The 21,501-nt window shown below is 49.2% G+C and overlaps 1 protein-coding gene across 11 annotated transcripts in view; it reads right to left on the bottom strand.

Annotated features, from left to right (window-relative positions):
* The window catches only part of PARVB (parvin beta), a 173,729-nt gene that overhangs the window by 41,129 nt on the left and 111,099 nt on the right, over positions 1 to 21,501 (bottom strand). For all 11 annotated transcript variants that reach the window (NM_001003828.3, XM_024452236.2, NM_013327.5 and 8 more), the window contains 2 exons: positions 12,671 to 12,773; positions 184 to 324 (listed from right to left, as the gene is read on the bottom strand). In NM_001003828.3, the coding sequence (NP_001003828.1) occupies positions 184 to 324; positions 12,671 to 12,773 (244 nt within the window). The remainder of the gene's footprint in view (positions 1 to 183; positions 325 to 12,670; positions 12,774 to 21,501) is intronic.

The following is a 21,501-nucleotide window of genomic DNA, read 5'->3' as shown; positions in this document are numbered from 1 at the left end:
TAACCCTTCTCCTGTTCTTCTCCCCTGCAATGTTCTACCTCTTACAGAGCAGGGAGATGAACCCAATTTTAAGATGCAAGGCCAGATGGGATGATGATGAATGTGGATGACAAATGTGGATGACGAATGTCGAGAGGACGGGCTCCCTCCAGACAGTCCCTCCCCCTGTGGCGTGGAACTCACAGTCCACGCTCCACCGGAGCGCCCAGCCTCGGGGCCGCAGCAGGTCATGTACTGCTTCCAGCACCGTCTGCAGCTTCTGTTTCTGCCCTATTTCGGACTGTGTCACCTCAGCCACATTCAGCTTGCACCCTGCCAGTTTTTCTGCAATGAGAAGCACAAGAGAAGAGGGTCAGAAAAAGCTGGAAGGGCCAGGCGCAGTGGCTCATGCCTGTAATCCCAGCAGTTTGAGAGGCCGAGGTGGGTGAATCACTTCAGGCCAGGAGTTCGAGACCAGCCTGGCAAATATGGTGAAATCCCGTCTCTACTAAAAATATAAAAATTAGCCAGGCGTGGTGGCGCACACATGTAATCCCAGCTACTCGGGAGGCTGAGGCAGGAGAAGTGCTTGAACCCGGGAGGTGGAGGTTGCAGTAAGCCAAGATCATGCCATTGCACCCAAGCCTGGGCAACCTGAGTGAGACCCTGCCTCAGAAAGAGAGAGAGAGAGAGAGAGAAAGAAAGAAAAAGGAAGGAAGGAAGGAAGGAGAGAGAGAGAGAAGAAAGAAAAAAAGAGAGAGAGAGAGGGAGGGAGGGAGGGAGGGAGGGAGGGAGGAAGGGGAGAGAGATATACTGGAGGAACTCAAAACCACCAAGACCCCAGCCTCAAGGAGGTCCCCGAAGCGGGGCAGGTTACCATGTGGCCATGGGGGCGTCTTGAGATGTTGAACCATGAACGCTGAGCTTCCAGGTCACTAATCTTCCTTAGAGAATGACGCCAGATTGAAAAGGGAAGAATAGTTAAGGATAAAACTGTGGGTGTTATACTCGGGAACATTCTATGCATACAAAATGGAAAAAACATAATAAGATGTAGTTGAGAGGCAAGGAGGTTACCTGGGAAGAATGAAAGTGGGAGTCAGGAGGTGAGAAGACTGTCCCTGTGGGTCCCAAAAGGGAGAGGACTGATAAAGATAATTTTAAAAAAGGTCTTAAAAGCTGCCTCTGCCTCCCCACACACCTGAGGCTCCCATTCTTGTTTCTTAAACATTCTAATGCCACAATAGGAAGTTAGATTAGATATTCACAGAACTGGCGATGATTTTATTACCAAGAATGAACAGGAAACAATCCGGAGGAGCACAGACAAGAACTGTCACATTTCATCAAGATTCAATTACTGAGACTGAGCTCCAGCCCAGCCTGCACCTCCTTCAATTTCCCTTTTGTTAGCAGTAGGTACTGGCAGGTGCCGGCCACCAGCGCCCCACCCCACGCCCGCTGCAGGGCCACACAGCAGGAAGGACCCCCAGTTTCCCTGCTAGTCTTCGATTCTAAGACTCCAGTGTTTACTGATAGATCCACTCTGCAAAACAACAAAAGCGACGTCACAGAGCATCGTGAGATGGTTCACTGGGAGGGTGACTGCAAGCACTCAGCACAGAGCCTTCAATACACAGCTGCTGTCAGTGACGCGGCATTGACATGCCATCATGAAAGCAATCAAGTCCAGGCCAGTCACAAATGGGGTTTCTGTTTTGCAAGTGGTTCCCAGCACAAAGTTCTGTTTAAAACATTTTAGCTGGAGGCCCCCATGTCTTCAGTGTTATCTCCCCAGCAGCCTCCCCTCCCTCAATTAGAAAACAAACAGCTTTGGCATCCCTTTCAAGATAATAAAATTCTAGAGCAAGGCCTGCTGGGCTCGGAATACCCCTTCGATCATGCGTTTGTTGGCTCACAGATAGGGACTGAACACCTACTATGGGACAGGCACTGTCCTAGGTGCTGGATATGGCACAGATAACAGAGGTCCCTAGTGGGGAGATAAACACCCGTAAAAAACATCTGATTGGGTGGCAATGACTGCAAGAGAAAAAACAAAGCAGCCCAACAAAACACATCCTGCAGGGGAGTGGAAACGATTCCCGCTTATTCATCTGATTTCCCTCCATCTGGATCTAACAGCTCCTCGCTGAGTCATCCACAGCTGTCTGTCTGAATTTGCGCCCTGGAAGTAGAGAGCAAGTAGGTCCCACAGGTGTTCAACAACCATGGAAAGGGCAGAGCAGGGCAGCTTGGAGAAGGAAGGAGAGAGATAGGATCATACAGAACTGGGTGGTCTGAGAGCCTCGCCCACCAGGGAGATGGGAAGCCTGACGCGCCCCCGTTGCACCTGCCACCATCCGGCCCCGCAGACTGAACATGGCCACGTCACCCAGGGTGGAGGAAGAGGAGTCGGCAGAGGAGCGGAGGACACTGGATTCGTTTGTCTGGGCTGCTGCAACGAAGCATGCCACACACCGTGCGGCTTAAACAACGGAGATTTATGTCACAGCTCTGGAGGCCAGAAGTCCAAGATCAAGGCACCGGCAGGGTAGACCCTTCTGAGGCCCCTCTCCTGGCTTGTAGATGGCTGCCCTCTCCTTCCTGTGTCCTTACTTGGTCTCCCTCTGTGCATGTCTGTGTCCTAATCTCCTCTTTTTATAGGAACCCTAGACATATTGAATTAGGGCCCACCCACTCGTATGGCCTCATTTTACTTTCATTACCTCTTTTAATTTTTTTATTTTTTTGAGATGGAGTTTCACTCTCGTCACCCAGGCTGGAGTGCAATGGCACCATCTCAGCTCACTGCAACCTCTGCCTCCCAGGTTCAAGCGATCCTCCTGCCTCAGCCTCCCGAGTAGCTGGGATTACAGGCATGTGCCACCACGCCCAGGTAATTTTTGTATTTTTAGTAGAGGCAGGGTTTCACCATGTTGATCAGGCTGGTCTCGAATTCCTGACCTCAAGTGATCTGCCCACCTCAGCCTCCGGAAGTGCTGGGATTACAGGTGTGAGCCATCACACCCAGCCTATTATTATCTCTATAAATACAGTCACATTCCGAGGTTCAACCTGCAGGGCTGGCTGGTAGCAGGGACAGTGGGAGGCTGCCAGGCTACCCATCTCTCCTAGTGGGCGAGGCTCTCATACCTTGCAATGTGCCTGTATTTAAAGAGGCAGTTAAGGTAAAATGAGGTCACATGGGTGGGCCCTGCATGTAGGACTTGAAAATATGAATTTGGTGGTGGAAACAGCAGGCAACAGAGACCAAAGAGACTGGCCATGCCTGTGTGCTGCCTTAGGCTGGGTCTTGGGTGACTCCTGTGCAACAGAGAATACGGCACATGATCACTTGCATCATCAGACATCACTGTGCCCACTGGCGGGGGCCGCAGGAGCAGCTCAGGGCTCTGTTGTGGCCAGGACCCCTATCTTCCTAGCACAGAAAGAGAGAAAACTGGGGAGGATTCTCCCATGTAGCAGGTGACCCTGAGTGATGGCCACATGGGGGTTGAGTACACATGTGATGAAGAACTTCACCTTCACAAGGAGAGGGTGTGCCCGTGAGTGACCAGCAGGACGACAGCCAGGAGCTCCCACAGCACGGGCACCTCACTCTGGCCATATGCAGTCTACCTTGAGGGCTGCACTGCAAACACAGGGGAGCTACACCCCCAGAAACCTGGCATGTGGCAGAGAACCCGGCAGCTGCTTCCAGAATCTTCTCTCAAGAAGAGGGATTCGGCTGGGTGTAGTGGCTCATCCCTGTGATCCCTGCACTTTGGGAGGCCAAGGTGGGAGGATCGTTTGAGCCCAGTTCAAGACTAGCCTGGGCAACATGGCAAAACCTCAGCACTACAGAAAATACAAAAATTATCTGGGCATGGTGGTATGCATCTGTGATCCCAGCTTCCCGGGGAAGCTGAGGTGGGAAGATCATCCAAGCCTAGGGGTCAAGGCTGCAGTGAGCTGTGATCACGCCACTGCACTCCAGCCTGGGCAACAGAGTGAGACACTATCTCAAGAGAAAAAAAAAAAAAGAAGAGGGACTCCTCAGGGGTCCTGCTGGTTCACTCTGGGCAATTTCCACATGGCCAAACCAGAAGTCTGTTCTCTTTCCTCCTCTCACCTCCTAGAAACACCTCCTTTACCCTTCCTGAATGCAACACTCCTCTGGCTCCCCCTCCCTTGTGACTGACCTTTGCCAGAACTTCCTCTTCCTGACCACTAATGGCTGACAGCCCAGACCCAGTCCTCAGACCTCTTCTCTACTACGGATGCACAGAAGTTGGCTTTGACCTTGGTATTCAGCTAAAATCTCCTATTTGGTTTGGGCTTCTGCCTTTGGAAAGCCAAAGAGCTGAATGCCTACATCAGTGTCATTCCTGGCATCCTGGAGCTCAAGGATCAGGTGATCACATCAGTAGTATCACATCAAGAGGATCTCACATCAACAGTATATTATGTCATTTCAGTGTAACAACATTCACAAAATGAGGCAAGACATTCTGATGCTGTGTTACTATCTGAATATTCTAGTCCACTGTTCTTTTTTTCAGTACAAAAAAAAAAAGTGGTTTTAATATGTCAAACCACTTGACACTCAAGAGATTTTAGAATTGCCTTCTCAAGTGCTTATGTGATTATTCAAACAAGATGGAACAGCAGCTACTCCACAAGAAAAAGGCTGCTTGAGCCAAAGGAAGCCTCATGTTATACTTTATGGATAACACAACTGATATAGCAGGACTCATGGACAATCACAGCAACTCCGGAGTAAGTGCTGCATTTGCTAGCACTAACTGAAGAGGGAACCAAAAGGATGTGCCTTGAGAGGGGAAGATGCAGCTTTAAAGATGCCCCTGTAATTCTGCTCTATAGAAGGCACTGGCATGGTTTACAGGCAACCACGGCTGAGATGCAGATGCAAATTCAGAGCCTGTCCTGAGATTCTGAGGGCCAGTTCCACAGCCAGGCTGCCAGATACAAGGCTTGCTGACATACTGTTTCAAGTCATTGGGTGGGAGAAGCCACAGGTGCAGGCAAAAGAATCAGAAATAAAAAATGAAAGTGAACAAAACACTCAAGTTTGCTTCTGAAAATATTAGAAAATATCTGCTTCAGGTAGGGAGCAAAGTACCAATTGGGGGGACTGCTTCAACAGAGGGCCATCACCAGCAACAGCCCAATCTTCACATCCAAGATCAAAGAGGAGGTAAGTCTCTACCATAACCAGCCACTCAGAGAGAGAAAAACTGACAGCCCAGGGGCAGCTTCACATGAGGAGTATCCCTTCAGACAGCATCAGCCAAAGGTCCACGTGCTCCTCCAGCCTTCTGAGTTGAAAGTGAGCATCTAGCATCACAAATGTCTGGTTTGAAGACCTCAAGAGCAAGTGGTACCCAACAGTGCTGGGTGTGACTGTACTGATACTGCAATGCAAAACATCAAAACTTTGGCCACTAACGTTTTTAATAATAAAATTGTGATAATTATGACACAATCTTGATGAACATTTCAGACTTATTCTTGTACCATGGGATCTCATTCTAAGATGGGGATTCTCACCTTAGCCAAATATAGATGTTAATTCTTGGGCATTCGGCATTCAGCCAAATAAAATTTGGAACACCCTCTTTGGGTGAAGCCGTGCAGTCCCACGGTGCTAAACATCAGCTCAGTGCTGCTGGGTTCACACGTACACTGCAGCCTGGACTCCAGGCTCACCTGCTCAGCATCACCTCCAAAAGGGCAGGTATCTCAGCCCCAGCATGTACAACACAGACCCCCGCCTTCCCAACCTCCCACCCTACTCCCAACGGCTTCCCATTTACCAGTTGCTCAAGCCACAAACCTGGCCATCAGTCTTGGTTCCTATGGCAGTTTAACTGTACAGTACCTCCCCATGTCTGCCCTTCCACTCTGGGGGCTGAGCTACTTCATCAGATGCCTGGGCCATGGCAATGGTGTCCTGACTGATCTCTCAGTTCCAACTCCTGACTCTCCTCCCCATCCATCCTGCACCCAGAAGCCTAAGTGACCTTTTAAACTCTAACCCAATCCACGTCACAGCCCTACCCAAAACCTCCAATGGCTTCCTGTCACTTGGAATAGACTGTTGTCTAGCAGGGCTGAATGAGATCTGGCCCCAGCCTCATCTCTTGGCTCTCTCCCTCCCTCTCTGCCACCTGGGCCCCGCCTCCGCTTCTTTTCACTGCTCCTCCAACACAACAGGCTCTTTCTCGCTTTAGAGCCTCAGCCCAGAACGCCCTTCCCAAGCTCACTGTGCAGACATGTGCTCAGATGTCGCCTCCCCAGAGGAGCTTCCCTGGATTGCCTTCCCCAACCCCCACCCACCACTGTACCCCATAACCTTCTATTACTTTCCTCCTAGCACTTGTCATTCCTTTAAAACATCATCTAGGTTTCAGGTTGAACCACTCCACCCCATAATACTTCTCTTTCTTCACTCTGCTAGAATGTGTGCTGGGGGAGTGGGCAGGCGCAGGGTGCGGGGCTCATCTCTCTTGTTTCCCACTGTGTCTCTACAGCCAAGAGCCACCCGACACATGTAAGCCAATGAACATTCATTCATCAGATGAATGAATGAATGTGTGACCAAAACAAACACAGACATGTTTCCCTCCAAATATACTTTCTGAGGGCCAGATGAATAAGGACAAACAATGTGGTCCAAGCATCACTGTGTCCTTCAGAGTGAGTTATGGGACATGGCCTCCCCAGCACCTCATCCCCCCACCCTCACCACCACCTGTCACAAGCCTAGGAGGTTTCCCTCCAAGAGCTGGTCTGTAAGAGCCATTTGTGCAGAGTGTGCAAACTCTGTCCAGAGGCAGCTACAGATGCTGCACCCCTGTGTTTTCAGGGCCAAGTTTCTCTGGCAGGGGCTCCCCTAGTCTCTCTCTCTCCTAAACAGCACCCCACCCCCTACCCATTCACATCCTTGTGGCAGTCCCCCCGCAGTCCACGTATCCCCTGCAGCAGATACTCCTCTGTCACAACAGCGGAGAAAAACATGATCCCACCCCAGTCACCAGCCCTGCCCTGAGGGAGTGACCCTCCAGGATGGCCCATGGGGAGACCCTTCCACCAGGATGGGGCTTGTCTGTGGGAGTGACCCTCCAGGACGGCCCACGGGGAGACCCTTCCACCAGGATGGGGCTTGTCTGTGGGACTGACCCTCCAGGATGGCCCACGGGGAGACCCTCCCACAGGATGGGGCTTGTCTGTGGGACTGACCCTCCAGGACAGCCCCCAGGGAGACCCTTCCACCAGGATGGGGCATATCTGTGGGAGTGACCCTCCAGGACAGCCCATGGGGAGACCCTTCCACCAAGATGGGGCTTGTCTGTGCAGTCCATCAAAGCAGGGAGGTTGAGCAGAAAAGAAACCCCAGAGAGAGGATCTGCTGACCCCACCAATGCTGGGGATGACATGGGTGGAATCTCATGCTGACCTTTAAGAGGTATGCTATCCCACCTACAAGGGGACACTGGGTTCTTGAGGCCACCGTCACAGGCATTTGTGGACCCTGAAAACATATCAGGGCTCTATGAGAACTGAAAGATTGTTCAGCAAATAGCTGATCCCTTCTGGAGTCTGTGGATGGCACTGAGGACCAAAAATCCAAACAATACTCATCTATCTGTCCCCCTTTCATGTCCCACAAGAGGACCCCACAATCTTCATAGGTAATGAAACTGCAGGAATTCTTTCATTGACTTAATCAACAAATATTTGTCATGTGCCAGTCACCCAGGGGACTTGGGGTGGATGGGGTACCCAGCAGCGAGCCAGATACTCCTTAGTTCTGCTCTTGGCATTTATTTGTCTGTTTAAAAAACAACAGCAATAACAACTCCTGCTTATTGACGACAGACCTGTGCCAGGCACTGTGCCAGGGGCTCCATCCACGTAATTTCAGCAGGCAGCTTGCATGGTTCCCAGTGGACAGACATGAAAAGGAGCTACTATGGCCAGGCGCAGTGGCTCATGCCTATAAACCCCACACTTTGGGAGCCCGAGGTGGGTGGATTGTTTGAGCCCAGGAGTTCAAGACCAGCCTGGGCAACATGGCAAAGCCTCGTATTGGCCAGGCGCAGTGGCTCATGCCTGTAAACCCCACACTTTGGGAGGCTGAGGTGGGTGGATTGCTTGAGCCCAGGAGTTCAAGATCAGCCTGGGCAACATGGCAAAGCCTCGTATCTATAAAAAATACAAAAAATAAGTCATGCATGGTGGCATGCACCTGTACTCTCAGCTACTCGGGCGGCTAAGGTGGGAGAATCACCTGAGCCCAGGAAGTGGAAGCTGCAGTGAGCCATGATTGTACCCCCACACTCCAGGCCAGCCAATGGAGTGAGACCCTGTCTTGAAAAGAAAAGCAGCTGCAGCAACCACAGGTTCACTCCCTTCCTCTCTCTCCCTCTCAAAATTATGTACCTCAAAGGCACAGTTCTCTGCCCCTGGACCCTCCCCGATCAGCGTGTTACCCCCACCACTGCGCCAAAACTGCTCTCATCTGGGCCACCAATGACCCATCCGGTGCCAAATCTAATGGTCAATACATTTGAGTGATGCAGAGAAATTGGAGTGTTGCAGGAGCAAGGGAGCCATTTTTTAATGGAAATATTACATCATGTCTGCACACTGAACAGTCCAGGGAAGACAGAAAGTGGCTACAGGAAAGATCAACCAAGGCACAACAGACCTGGGAAGGCCAGAGGTGAGAGAGGTGAAGCCTCTCAGAATTTGAGAATTCCTTCCTCTACAGTGGTCAGCTCAAGGAAGCAACCCATTACACTTGAGGTCAACAATTCTAGTTTCTGTAACATCTGCACGAGGATATTCCCACAATATTACTGGTGATAGAAAAATATTAGAAATGACAAAAATGCCCCACATAGGAGACTGGGTGAATAAACGAAGGAACATCCACACAGTGGAGTACAATGCAGCCATAAAGAAAAAGAAAGGTGATCTCCACATGCAAGGATTCCTAGAACATATTAAGCGAAACAAGCAGGGTGTGTAAAAGAATGTACAAAATACATCACCTTTTATGCAAGGAATAAAAGGGAAATGAGTAGGTGTGTATATGGACATTTTTGTAAAGAAACATAAGAAGGATAAAATCAGAATCCATTGAAAATTGTTACCTGGGAGTGTATACGTGGGAGAGAAAGCAGTGAGACCTCTCTCTCTCTCTCTCTCTCTCTCTCTCTCTCTCTCTCTCTCTCTCTGTCTCTGTGTCTCTCTCTCTCTCTCTCTCTCTCTGTCTCTCTGTCTCTCTCTCTCTCTCTCTCTCTCTCTCTCTTGATCGACAGGGTCTCACTCTGTTGCCTAGGCTGGAATGTAGTGGTACAATCATGGCTCACTGCAGCCTCAACTTCCTAGGCTCAAGTGATCCTCCTGCCTCAGCCTCCTGAGCAGCTGGGAATACAGGTGCACGGTGCACATCACCACGACTGGTAATTTGTAGAGACGAGGTCCCACTATGTTGCCCAGGCTGGTCTCAAACTCTTCGGCTCAAGTGATCCTCCTGGCTCAGCCCCTCAAGGTGCTGGGATGATAGGCTGAGCCACCACACCTGGCTAAGACCTTTCAAGGTATGTCATTTCCATAGTTTTGACTTTTGAAGCATGTAAATGCTTTACATTTTTAAAAGTAATATTAAATAAAATTAAATGTAAACATATACACAAAAACTAAATACAGAGAGAAACAAATTAATTTATTTATACATTAAATGGATGACATGACCACTCAAAAAGAAAATAATTCAGTTAAGTTCTGAACACAGAATTCTGACTATATACTCTTAGTGGATATATTGTACTTAAAAAATAATGGCAAAGAAATCTTGTACCTAGCATGTTTGTAGTTGATAGAGGTATTGGTATTGTAATTCTGACACTATTTTTGTATGCAATCAGAGTAAATAGCAAATATATTTCTGGAACCAAGGTTCTCCCTGGAGACTGGAATACTGAATGCTGACAGTTAAGGGATAAACTTGTAGCATTGAACTGGAATTAGAAGTAGCAGTGTGAACTCACAATTTTTAAAAAACTATATATTTGCTACCTCTTTTGGCTTAAAGAGACTAGAAGCAATGACACCCCAGGAGCCACAAGCACCCATAAGGCCCAGATTTTGCTATCTAATTACCATTCTCTTTTGAACATAAAATAATTCATCAGTCCAGGGGAATGTGTTATTCTATTTTAGGGGATTTTTTTTTTTTAAAAAAGGACACAGGAGAAGAAAAGCACTTATTTACAGAAGAAAATGCCAGCTAATAAGTGGGGAAGCCATGATAAAGATACAGAAATCACTATTTTGCAACCTCCAGCATAATATTTAGAGATGATATTTAGCATAATTTAGAGAATGATAATCAGCGGATGATAAAATCATGGGGAGCGCATCATGGGTGAACAGGACGTTCACAAAGTCCCAGAGTCTGCCCCTCTAGAGACCATGTATTAAAAAGGAAAGAAGGGCTGAGCATGGTAGCTCACACCTGTAGTCCCAACACTTTGGGAGGCCAACATGAGAGAATTGCTTCAGGCCAGTACAAAACAGGCCTGGGCAACAAAGCAAGGACCCTGTCTCTAACACAAAAAAATGAAATTTAAAAATTTAATACAAAACAATTAGCCAGTCAGGCACAGTGGCTCACACCTGTAATCCCAGCACTTTGGGAGGCTGAGGTGGGTGGATCATGAGGTCAGGAGATCAAGACCATCCTGGCCAACATGGTGAAACTCCATCTCTACTAAAAAACAAAAATTACCTGGGCATGGTGGTATGTGCCTGTAACCCCAGCTACTCAGGAGGCTAAGGCAGGAGAATCACTTGAACTAGGGAGTCGGAGGTTGCAGTGAGCTGAGATCGCACCACTGCACTCCAGCCTGGGTGACAGAGCAAGACTCCATTTCAAAAAAAGAAAAAAAAAAAACAGCCAAGTGTGGTGGTACACATCTGTAGTCCTAGCTACTCTAGAGGCCAAGGTGTGAGGATCACTGGAGCCCAGGAGTTTGAGGGTGCAGTGAGCTATGTTCACCCCACTACACTCCAGCCTGGGCAACTGAGTGAGATCCTGACTCTACCAAAATAGAACAAATAAAAAAGTGGTTTTTTTAACAGGAAAGAAGCACCTTTACAATGGAGAAACCCATAGGCCACTGCCTTAACCCAGTGATCAAACTGTCAGCACCACCAATGACAGGCAGCCTGACATTGTGTGCTCCTCCTGATACGATGCCCCCAGGAGGACAAGCAGGCAGCGCAGTCACACTCTCAGCAGAAACATGTGACCCAGATCTCATCGTGAGGAGACAGACAGATCCCGATGGGAGGATATTCTACAAGACAAGAGGCCCAGACCCTTCCAAAACGTCATAAAAGACAGAAAGACAGAACAGAACGGAGAGAGGGAAAGGGAAGGCGGTTCCAGATGAAAGAAGCCTAAAAGAAGAGACAAACGTTCATGTGTGATTCACTCCTGGATCCAAACAAAAGGCATCGTGGGGACAACCAGGGACATCTGCTCATTCAGCCAGACCCCCAGGGCTGTTGTGAGAACCAGCTGTGATCATGCAGGAGCGCCTGACCCAGGCCCTGTACCTGGGGCTGCTCCGTAGACAGGTCAGAGAAAGGCCCCGCGGCCGGGCTCAAGAGCTATGCTTGGGGCCAGGCTGCCCGGCTGTTCACCAGGAGACTGTGGGCCCCAACGTCCCCACCTGTCGAAGGCGATGGCAGTACTGCCCCCTAGGACCATTGTGACAATGAGACATGACAGTGCCAGGCATCGTGAGAACCCACTACAAGTCCAAGAATTCCTCTCATGCATCATCTGCGAACTCTGCTCTTCCGTTCTTTGCCTGGCAACTCTTCGCTCGTTCTTCCATATGAGCTGCAAGGCCGCCCCACCCCCAGGCCAGGCCGGCGTCCTCTACTCAGAACCTGCGGCATCTCCGAAGGCCCTCATCACAAGCAATCTGAACAGTAACTGTAACCATTCAAAAATATTTGTCTTTTCAGACAGACTGTAAGTTCTGAGGACAGGGACCACGTCTGTTTCAAAGATCACCGTATCCCTGGTACCCAGCCCTCGGGACTCATCCAACATCTGATGAATAAACAACCGGTTTGTCTGCACATCAAACCATGCATCAGTCAGTCCCGGGAAGATCACTAAACTGCCTTCACCCAGCAAATGCAGACACTAGAGCCCGCCCCTGGTGAGGGAACATGAGCTATCATGTATTTGGTGACACATTCACTCACAGAATATTGCTGCAGACCCGCTTCCCTCCTGCTGCCTCCCATCCTGAACCGAAGGAGTTCAAGTCAAAAGAGGGTGGCAGGGACACAAAGTGGGCCTGAGACCCAACAGGATGGGAGCCGCAGGCAGTTTTGGAAGCTGTCCCCAACCTGCTGCTGCCCCATGGCTGGGTGCTCTGTAGAAACGGCAAGGGGAGAGAGGACCCTGAAGCCACAGCCCAGGGCCTGGGCACCACCTGGGAGATGCACACTGCAGCTTTGAGTGTCTTCCTAGGACCTGTGGCCGATGTCACTATGCAGAGAATCCTGGCCCAGCCCAGGGCCGCTGCAGGGAGATGGGGGTGGGACAGAGCTGTCCCTGCTGTGAACTCACCCAAGAGCTTCTGCAGCACCTGGCCGTCATACAGGTCTTCCTCCAGCTGCTTCACAATGATCCTCTCCTCCACCAGCACGTCATTAATCCAGTCGAGGAGGACCTGCAGGAGACGCAGGCATTATGGCCTCAGTCCACCAGCGCCACGGCAATGAGGCAGTGACCAGGGAAAGTGCAGAAACAGAGACTGCACAGCTCTGCAGCCACCACCGGGACCACAGCAAGTACAGGGACAGAGGCTGCACAGCTCTGGGGCCAGGCTGCACAGCTCTGCAGCCACCACAAGGACAGGGCAAGCACAGAGACAGGGGCTGCACAGCACTGCAGCCGCCAGAACCAGAGCAAGCGGAGGGACAGAGGCTGTACAGCTCTGTGGCCACCAGGACCAGAGCAAGCACAGAGACAGAGGCTACACAGCTCTGCGGCCACCACCAGGTCCAGAGCTAGCACAGGGACAGAGGCTGCACAACTCTGCAGCCACTAGGACCAGAGCATCTCGTGTTCACCTTGGTATGGGGGCAAATGATTAAGCATTGGTAATACTGCCCTCTCATCACCCCAAGACAGTCAAGGTGACCCACAAGATATCCATTCCTCCCTGGTCACCCTAAGTCTCAACCCACCCTAACCCAGGACAGCAAAGGGAAGTTATGCATCATTACTGACAGGCTTGGTGTGACCACCGTCAGCTGCATTTTGTATGCACCCTTATTGAGATAGAATTCTCACTCCACACAATTCATCCTTTAAAAGTGTGTGATTCGATCTACTTCCCCTCTCCACGGATTTGGCTTTCTGGACATTTCATATTAATAGGAGCCGATGATGTCTGCCCTTTCATGTGTGGCTTCTTTCACTGAGCATGTTTTCAAGGTTCATCCATGTTATAGCATGTTTCCGTCCTTCTTTCGTGCCTACGCTGAATCATATTCCATCTCATGGGGGACCACATTTTGTTTCTCCATCCCTTGGTTGATGGTTATTTCGGTTATCACCCCTTTTTAGGTATTGTGAGTGGTGCTGACATGAACATTCAGGTACAAGTCTCTCTGTGGATGTGAGTTTCATTTTTCCAGGCCAGCCTTCCTCTTAAGCCTTTTCACAAGAGATTTTCCATTCAGTTCACCGGGTGATACACTTCAGAAGGAGATTGCTTCCATTATGAAAGTACCTATGGAAAGACAGGACTCCCGCCAAACACAATTCCACCTGGCCAATCCTGCTTCTGACATGTCTATTCCACAAAATAAAATGGACTCAATCAATGGCACAGAGTGTGTGATTTTCCTGTGCAAGGAAAACTAATAAATGATCTCATTGGTCCCAGTAACCTCTCGGAAATGGGAGTTTATGGCCCCTCTCAGAGATGAACAAAAGGGCACAAGTCCAGAATATACCGTCCCCTGTCACTCTGAAACAGCTGCAACCTGCAATATTGGCCACAAGGCAAATTTCTGTGAAGCACATTCTATTTTCCCAGTAACATAAAAATATCGAACCTGACACACAAGCCCACAAGGAACAGAGGTAAAAATAAATTAAAGGGCAGTTTGCAGGGAGAGGTGCATGGCCCTGTGGCATTCTGGTCTTGTCAATGCCACCTCTGAAGGTCAGGGCACAGCACCAACTACCCTGCTTCCACCCCGGGCTCTCTCTGCGAGGTGGCTGGCAGGGGGAGGGAGAGCACTGGCCTGGGAGTCCCAGGGCTGCACCCGAACCCCCTCAGTTCCCAAAGAGCTGCCTCCCCCACCCCCCATGGCCCACAGACCCCCACACTCACTGGCTTCCTGCCCTCCTCCTTCACCCTCTACAGCCTCCTTTGGGGGATCCTCCCTGACTCCCCTGACCCTTACATGATGCATGCCTGAGGGCCCTGGACAGCTCCCCTTCTCCCTCCCCACTCTCTTCAGAGGCCGGTTTCTGCCCTCCTGCAACTTCCAGCGCCGTCCCTAACCCAGGACCCCCTAAGCACAGGGCCCGCCTCTCCATGCCCCTGCCACGGGGCGGGGTGGGGAGAGGGGGTTCCGTGAGCATCTCTAACAGGACTCACCACACCCCAGGCGTGCTCCTTTCCAGGGAAGGCAGGAAGGAAGGGAGGCAGGAAGGCCACCATCCTCCTGTCTCAGATCCTGGACTTTGCCTTCTCACCCTACTTCTGTCCACTTCTTAACCAGTTCCACTCCTCCCCATCTCCCTCTTGCCCCTGGGCCACAGCCACAGCCACCTGAACACCCTGCCTCCTCGCTGGGGTTCTTCAAATAGCCCAAGCTCATCTGCGCCACGGGGCCTCTGCACACGCCACTTCCCCTAACCCAGATACCACCCCCTCCCTCACTACCTGAGCAGCACTTCCTCCTCCAGAGCTCAGACCACCCCAGCCCTCCAGGCAGCATCCCCCATCACAGCTCTCAGTCCCCCAGCACCCTGTCTCATCCTGTCCCATTAGCAATGGGAGCAAATCTTTGAAAGGCTCTCCCCTGTTAGACTCCAAGGTCTATGAGGCCAGAAGCTATGACCGGCTTGTCTGTGGCTCTGTCCGCAGCACCAGCACTTGCTGCCTGGCGCCAGAGCTCTGTAAGGATGTGGTGAATGGGTGGACTAACTTACTAGGCACCACTGCGGACCAGGCTCTGGTGACAAACAGGACAGACGAGGCCTCTGCCTTGAGGGCCTTACATTCTACTAGACTCCAAGAGACACACGGACGCCCACAGTTTCAGGTTGTGATGGTTGATAGAAAGGAAAATAAAGCTGGATCCAGTGGAGAAACCGGGTGAGCACGCCTGCACAGGTGATGACGACCGACGCCAATAGCGAAGGTGTGCAGATGGGTGTGCCCCGATATGCGATGAAAATGGCACTTGACCTCACAGACTTCCTCCCCAAAGTGACAACCTGATCGAATCATGAAGAAAGCATCAGACAAACCCCAACAGAGGGACAGTCTACAAACTCTCTGAGCAGTAATCCTCAAAACTGTCAAGGTCAACAGAAACAAGGAAAGTCTGAGAAACTGTCAGAGCCCAGAGAAGCCTCAGGACTGAATGCAATGTGGTGTCCTGGGAGGAACCCTGAGACGGCCAAAGGAGAACAGGTGACACTGAGGATATCTGAATAAAGCACCTCCATAGTTAGTAATGGGATGTATCCGTGTTGGTGCAGGGCCTTACTTAGTAACAATGTATCTGTGTTGGTGCAGGGCCTTACTTAGTAACAATGTATCTGTGTTGGTGCAGGGCCTTAGTTAGTAATGATGTGTCCATGTTGGTGCAAGGCTTTAGTAACAATGTACAATGTATCCATTCTGGTGTAGGGCCTTAGTAACAATGTATCTGTGTTGGTGCAGGGCCTTAGTTACTAACAATGTATCTGTGTTGGTGCAGGGCCTTAGTTAATAACAATGTATCTGTGTTGCTGTAGGGCCTTAGTTAGTAACAATGTATCTGTGTTGGTGCAGGGCCTTACTTAGTAACAATGTATCCGTTCTGGTGCAGGGCCTTAGTTAGTAACAATGTATCTGTGTTGGTGCAGGGCCTTAGTTAATAACAATGTATCTGTGTTGCTGTAGGGCCTTAGTTAGTAACAATGTATCTGTGTTGGTGCAGGGCCTTACTTAGTAACAATGTATCCGTTCTGGTGCAGGGCCTTAGTTAGTAACAATGTATCTGTGTTGGTGCAGGGCCTTACTTAGTAACAATGTATCTGTGTTGGTGCAGGGCCTTAGTTAATAACAATGTATCTGTGTTGCTGTAGGGCCTTAGTTAGTAACAATGTATCTGTGTTGGTGCAGGGCCTTACTTAGTAACAATGTATCCGTTCTGGTGCAGGGCCTTAGTTAGTAACAATGTATCTGTGTTGGTGCAGGGCCTTACTTAGTAACAATGTATCTGTGTTGGTGTAGGGCCTTAGTTAGTAACAATGTATCTGTGTTGGTGCAGGGCCTTACTTAGTAACAAAGTATCTGTGTTGGTACAGGGCCTTAGTTAGTAACAGTGTATCTGTGTTGGTGCAGGGCCTTACTTAGTAACAATGTATCCGTTCTGGTGCAGGGCCTTAGTTAGTAACAATGTATCTGTGTTGGTGCAGGGCCTTACTTAGTAACAATGTATCTGTGTTGGTGCAGGGCCTTAGTAACAATGTATCTGTGTTGGTGCAGGGCCTTACTTAGTAACAACGTATCTGTGTTGGTGCAGGGCCTTAGTTAGTAACAATATATCTGTGTTGGTACAGGGCCTTACTTAGTAACAATGTATCTGTGTTGGTGCAGGGCCTTAGCTAGTAACAATGTATCTGTGTTGGTACAGGGCCTTAGTTAGTAACAATGCATCTGTGTTGGTGCAGGGCCTTACTTAGTAACAATGTATCTGTGTTGGTGCAGGGCCTTAGTAACAATGTATCTGTGTTGGTGCAGGGCCTTACTTAGTAACAACGTATCTGTGTTGGTGCAGGGCCTTAGTTAGTAACAACGTATCTGTGTTGGTGCAGGGCCTTACTTAGTAACAATGTATCTGTGTTGGTGCAGGGCCTTAGTAACAATGTATCTGTGTTGGTGCAGGGCCTTAGTAACAACATATCTGTGTTGGTGCAGGGCCTTAGTTAGTAACAATGTATCTGTGTTGGTACAGGGCCTTAGTAACAATATATCTGTGCTGGTGCAGGGCCTTAGTTAGTAACAATGTATCTGTGTTGGTGCAGGGCCTTACTTAGTAACAATGTATCTGTGTTGGTGCAGGGCCTTAGTAACAATGTATCTGTGTTGGTGCAGGGCCTTAGTTAGTAATGATGTGTCCATGTTGGTGCAAGGCTTTAGTAACAATGTACAATGTATCCATTCTGGTGTAGGGCCTTAGTAACAATGTATCTGTGTTGGTGCAGGGCCTTAGTTAGTAACAATGTATCTGTGTTGGTGCAGGGCCTTACTTAGTAACAATGTATCTGTGTTGGTGCAGGGCCTTAGTAACAATGTATCTGTGTTGGTGCAGGGCCATACTTAGTAACAACGTATCTGTGTTGGTGCAGGGCCTTAGTTAGTAACAATGTATCTGTGTTGGTGCAGGGCCTTACTTAGTAACAATGTATCTGTGTTGGTGCAGGGCCTTAGTAACAACATATCTGTGTTGGTGCAGGGCCTTAGTTAGTAACAATGTATCTGTGTTGGTGCAGGGCCTTAGTAACAATATATCTGTGCTGGTGCAGGGCCTTAGTTAGTAACAATGTATCTGTGTTGGTGCAGGGCCTTACTTAGTAACAATGTATCTGTGTTGGTGCAGGGCCTTAGTAACAATGTATCTGTGTTGGTGCAGGGCCTTACTTAGTAACAACGTATCTGTGTTGGTACAGGGCCTTAGTTAGTAACAATGTATCTGTGTTGGTGCAGGGCCTTACTTAGTAAGAACGTATTTGTGTTGGTGCAGGGCCTTAGTTAGTAACAATGTATCTGTGTTGGTGCAGGGCCTTACTTAGTAACAATGTATCTGTGTTGGTGCAGGGCCTTAGTAACAATGTATCTGTGTTGGTGCAGGGCCTTAGTTAGTAACAATGTATCTGTGTTGGTGCAGGGCCTTACTTAGTAACAACGTATCTGTGTTGGTGCAGGGCCTTAGTTAGTAACAATGTATCTGTGTTGGTACAGGGCCTTACTTAGTAACAACGTATCTGTGTTGGTGCAGGGCCTTAGTTAGTAACAATGTATCTGTGTTGGTACAGGGCCTTATTTAGTAACAATGTATCTGTGTTGGTGCAGGGCCTTACTTAGTAACAACGTATCTGTGTTGGTGCAGGGCCTTAGTTAGTAACAATGTATCTGTGTTGGTGCAGGGCCTTAGTAACAATGTATCTGTGTTGGTGCAGGGCCTTAGTTAGTAACAATGTATCTGTGTTGGTGCAGGGCCTTACTTAGTAACAACGTATCTGTGTTGGTGCAGGGCCTTAGTTAGTAACAATGTATCTGTGCTGGTGTAGGGCCTTAGTAACAATGTATCTGTGCTGGTGCAGGGCCTTACTTAGTAACAATGTATCTGTGTTGGTGCAGGGCCTTACTTAGTAACAACGTATCTGTGTTGGTGCAGGGCCTTAGTAACAATGTATCTGTGCTGGTGTAGGGCCTTAGTAACAATGTATCTGTGCTGGTGCAGGGCCTTAGTTAGTAACAATGTATCTGTGTTGGTGCAGGGCCTTACTTAGTAACAACGTATCTGTGTTGGTGCAGGGCCTTAGTTAGTAACAATGTATCTGTGTTGGTACAGGGCCTTATTTAGTAACAACGTATCTGTGTTGGTGCAGGGCCTTACTTAGTAACAACGTATCTGTGTTGGTGCAGGGCCTTAGTTAGTAACAATGTATCTGTGTTGGTGCAGGGCCTTACTTAGTAACAATGTATCTGTGTTGGTGCAGGGCCTTACTTAGTAACAATGTATCTTTGCTGGTGTAGGGCCTTAGTTAGTAACAATGTATCCGTGTTGGTGCAGGAATTGTAACAAGCTCGCTGGCAGGAGGATCGCTTGAGCCTGGGAGGTCAAGGATGCAGTGAGCTGTGATTGCACCACTGCACTCCACCCTGGGTGACAGAGTGAGACCCTGTTTTGGGAGCCTCAGGCGGCATCTGAGCAGAGACAGAAAAGGGTGAGGACGAGCTGCGTGGACACCTGAGGAAAGAGCGCTGGAGGCAGAGGGGACAGCCAGGAGGAACCCTGCCAGTAAGCTGAGCACAGGGGACTGATAGTGACAGGAGTGGGGGGAGGGGGACAGGGCCGACCCTGGACTCTCCCCCAGGCTGAGTGGGGAGGAGGCCGTGAAACCGCTGGGGTCAGGGTATTCCCCCCAGACCAAGAGACCTGGAGTGCCACCCAGGGTGGCTCTTGAAGACTGACCCAGCCACGGACCCCAAGCCAACTCCCCCAGCCACAGAACCCAGACCGCTGCATCTATGCGCCACCCCCCGGGAACTTGCTCTGGCCACTTAGTGAGATTTTATGGGTTTGGTTTTTGTTTGTTTTTTTGTTTTCAAAGCATGTCATTTAAATTCGAGAGACAACACCAAGTTTACAGACACACAGAGCAGCAATCCTAACTACCCTTTTTGGTCTTCAAAGCCCTCCTCTGCCTGCTTCCACTCTCTCGCCATGCTGATTTCCACCACGGGTTCCCCACGATCCTCCCAGCTCCCCGGCTGACCTCCTTCTGACCCGCAGCCTCCCAGGCTGCAGACGTCTTCCCTCCACCAAACACTCAGCCCTTGACAGCCAGGTAAGGCCAGTGACAGAGCCTCTTCCACCCCCTCAGAGCTCCCAGCAAAGCCCCAAGCCTGAGAGATGCCGCAAATACTAGATAAGTGACTACTCATAATATTTTGCATGTCTTTTATAATTTTTGGCTCATGGCTTTAAAATGGGTTTGCCTGGGGCAGCGGCTCACACCTGCAATCCTAGCACTTTGGGAGGCTGATGCAGGATGAGTGTTTGAGCCCAGGAGTTTGAGACTACCCTGGGCAACAAAATGAGACCCCATCTCTACAAAAAAAATTAAAAATTAGCCAGGTGGGGCAGTGCACACCTGTAGTCCCAGCTACTCAGGGGTCTGAGGCAGGAGGATTGCTTGAGCCTGGGAGGAAGCTGCAGTGAGCTGTGATGGTGACACTGCACTCCAGCCTGGGCAACAGAGCAAGACCCTGTCTCAAAAAAAAAAAAAAAAAAAAAAAAAAAAAAAAAAAGGTTTTGCAGGCAGAATTTTAAAACACCCCCTAAAATCCCGACCCGCTGGTGTACATGCCTGTATAAATACAGCATGGCATGAATATGTAGGGTCTGCATTAAGACCCAGCTCCACCAGAGTTTTAGCTGTGTGACCTTGAGTCACTCATTTAACCTCTCTAGACCTCAGAGTCTTCATTCAGAAAGGAAAATAAGTCAGTCCCTAGCCCTGTGCACACTATATGACCCGGCAATTCCAGCTCTAATTTATCCCAAGGTACTAGTCCAAATGTGGCCCTAGATGCTTACTAGCTCTGGAATGATTCCAAATTTGTGTAGGAAAAATGAAAAACACAGAGAAGCCTGAAGGGACATACATGGAAAAAAAAAAAAAATTAGCCCTGCCTTCTATTGGATTTTTCTGTCTTCCAGGTTTTCAGCAGCATATATTACTTTGGCAGTTCAAAAAGATAATAAGTATCATTTTTACAAATTAATCACTATCCAGATGGCTTCTAAAGAACTTGACAAGCAGGTCTTAAATGCATATATAGGCCGGGCGCAATGGCTCACGCCTGTAATCCCAGCACTCTGGGAGGCCGAGGCTGGTGGATCACTTAAGGTCAGGAGATTGAGACCAGCCTGGCCAACATGGTGAAACCCTGTCTCTACTGAAAATACAAAAATTAGCTGGGCATGGTGGTGCATGCCTGTAATTCCAGCTACTCGAGAGGCTGAGGCAGGAGAATCTCTGGAACCTGGGAGGCAGAGGTTGCAGTGAGCCGAGATTGCACCAGTGCACTCCAGCAACAGAGCAAGACTCCATCTAAAAAATAATAATAATATTAATAATTAAAATAAAATAAAATGCATATGTAAATTCAAAGGACTCCTGGATTGCCAAAACAATCTGAAAAAGATGAACAAAACTGGAGGACCCACACTCCACTGTTTCACACCTGACTACAAAGCTCCAGTCGTCGAAACTGTGGGACTGACATCAAGGCAGACACAGACCCACGGAACAGAAAGGGGTGTCCAAGATAAGTCTCAAGTCACAGTCAACTGATATTAACAAGGATACCAGGACAATTCAGTCGGGAGAAAATAGTCCTGTTTCCTGCCTTAGTCTTCTTCGGAGCA

This window comes from Homo sapiens, chromosome 22, assembly GCF_000001405.40.
Source record: "Homo sapiens chromosome 22, GRCh38.p14 Primary Assembly".
NCBI classification, from domain to species: Eukaryota; Metazoa; Chordata; class Mammalia; order Primates; family Hominidae; genus Homo; species Homo sapiens.
This window is presented reverse-complemented; position numbering and strand designations above follow the sequence as displayed.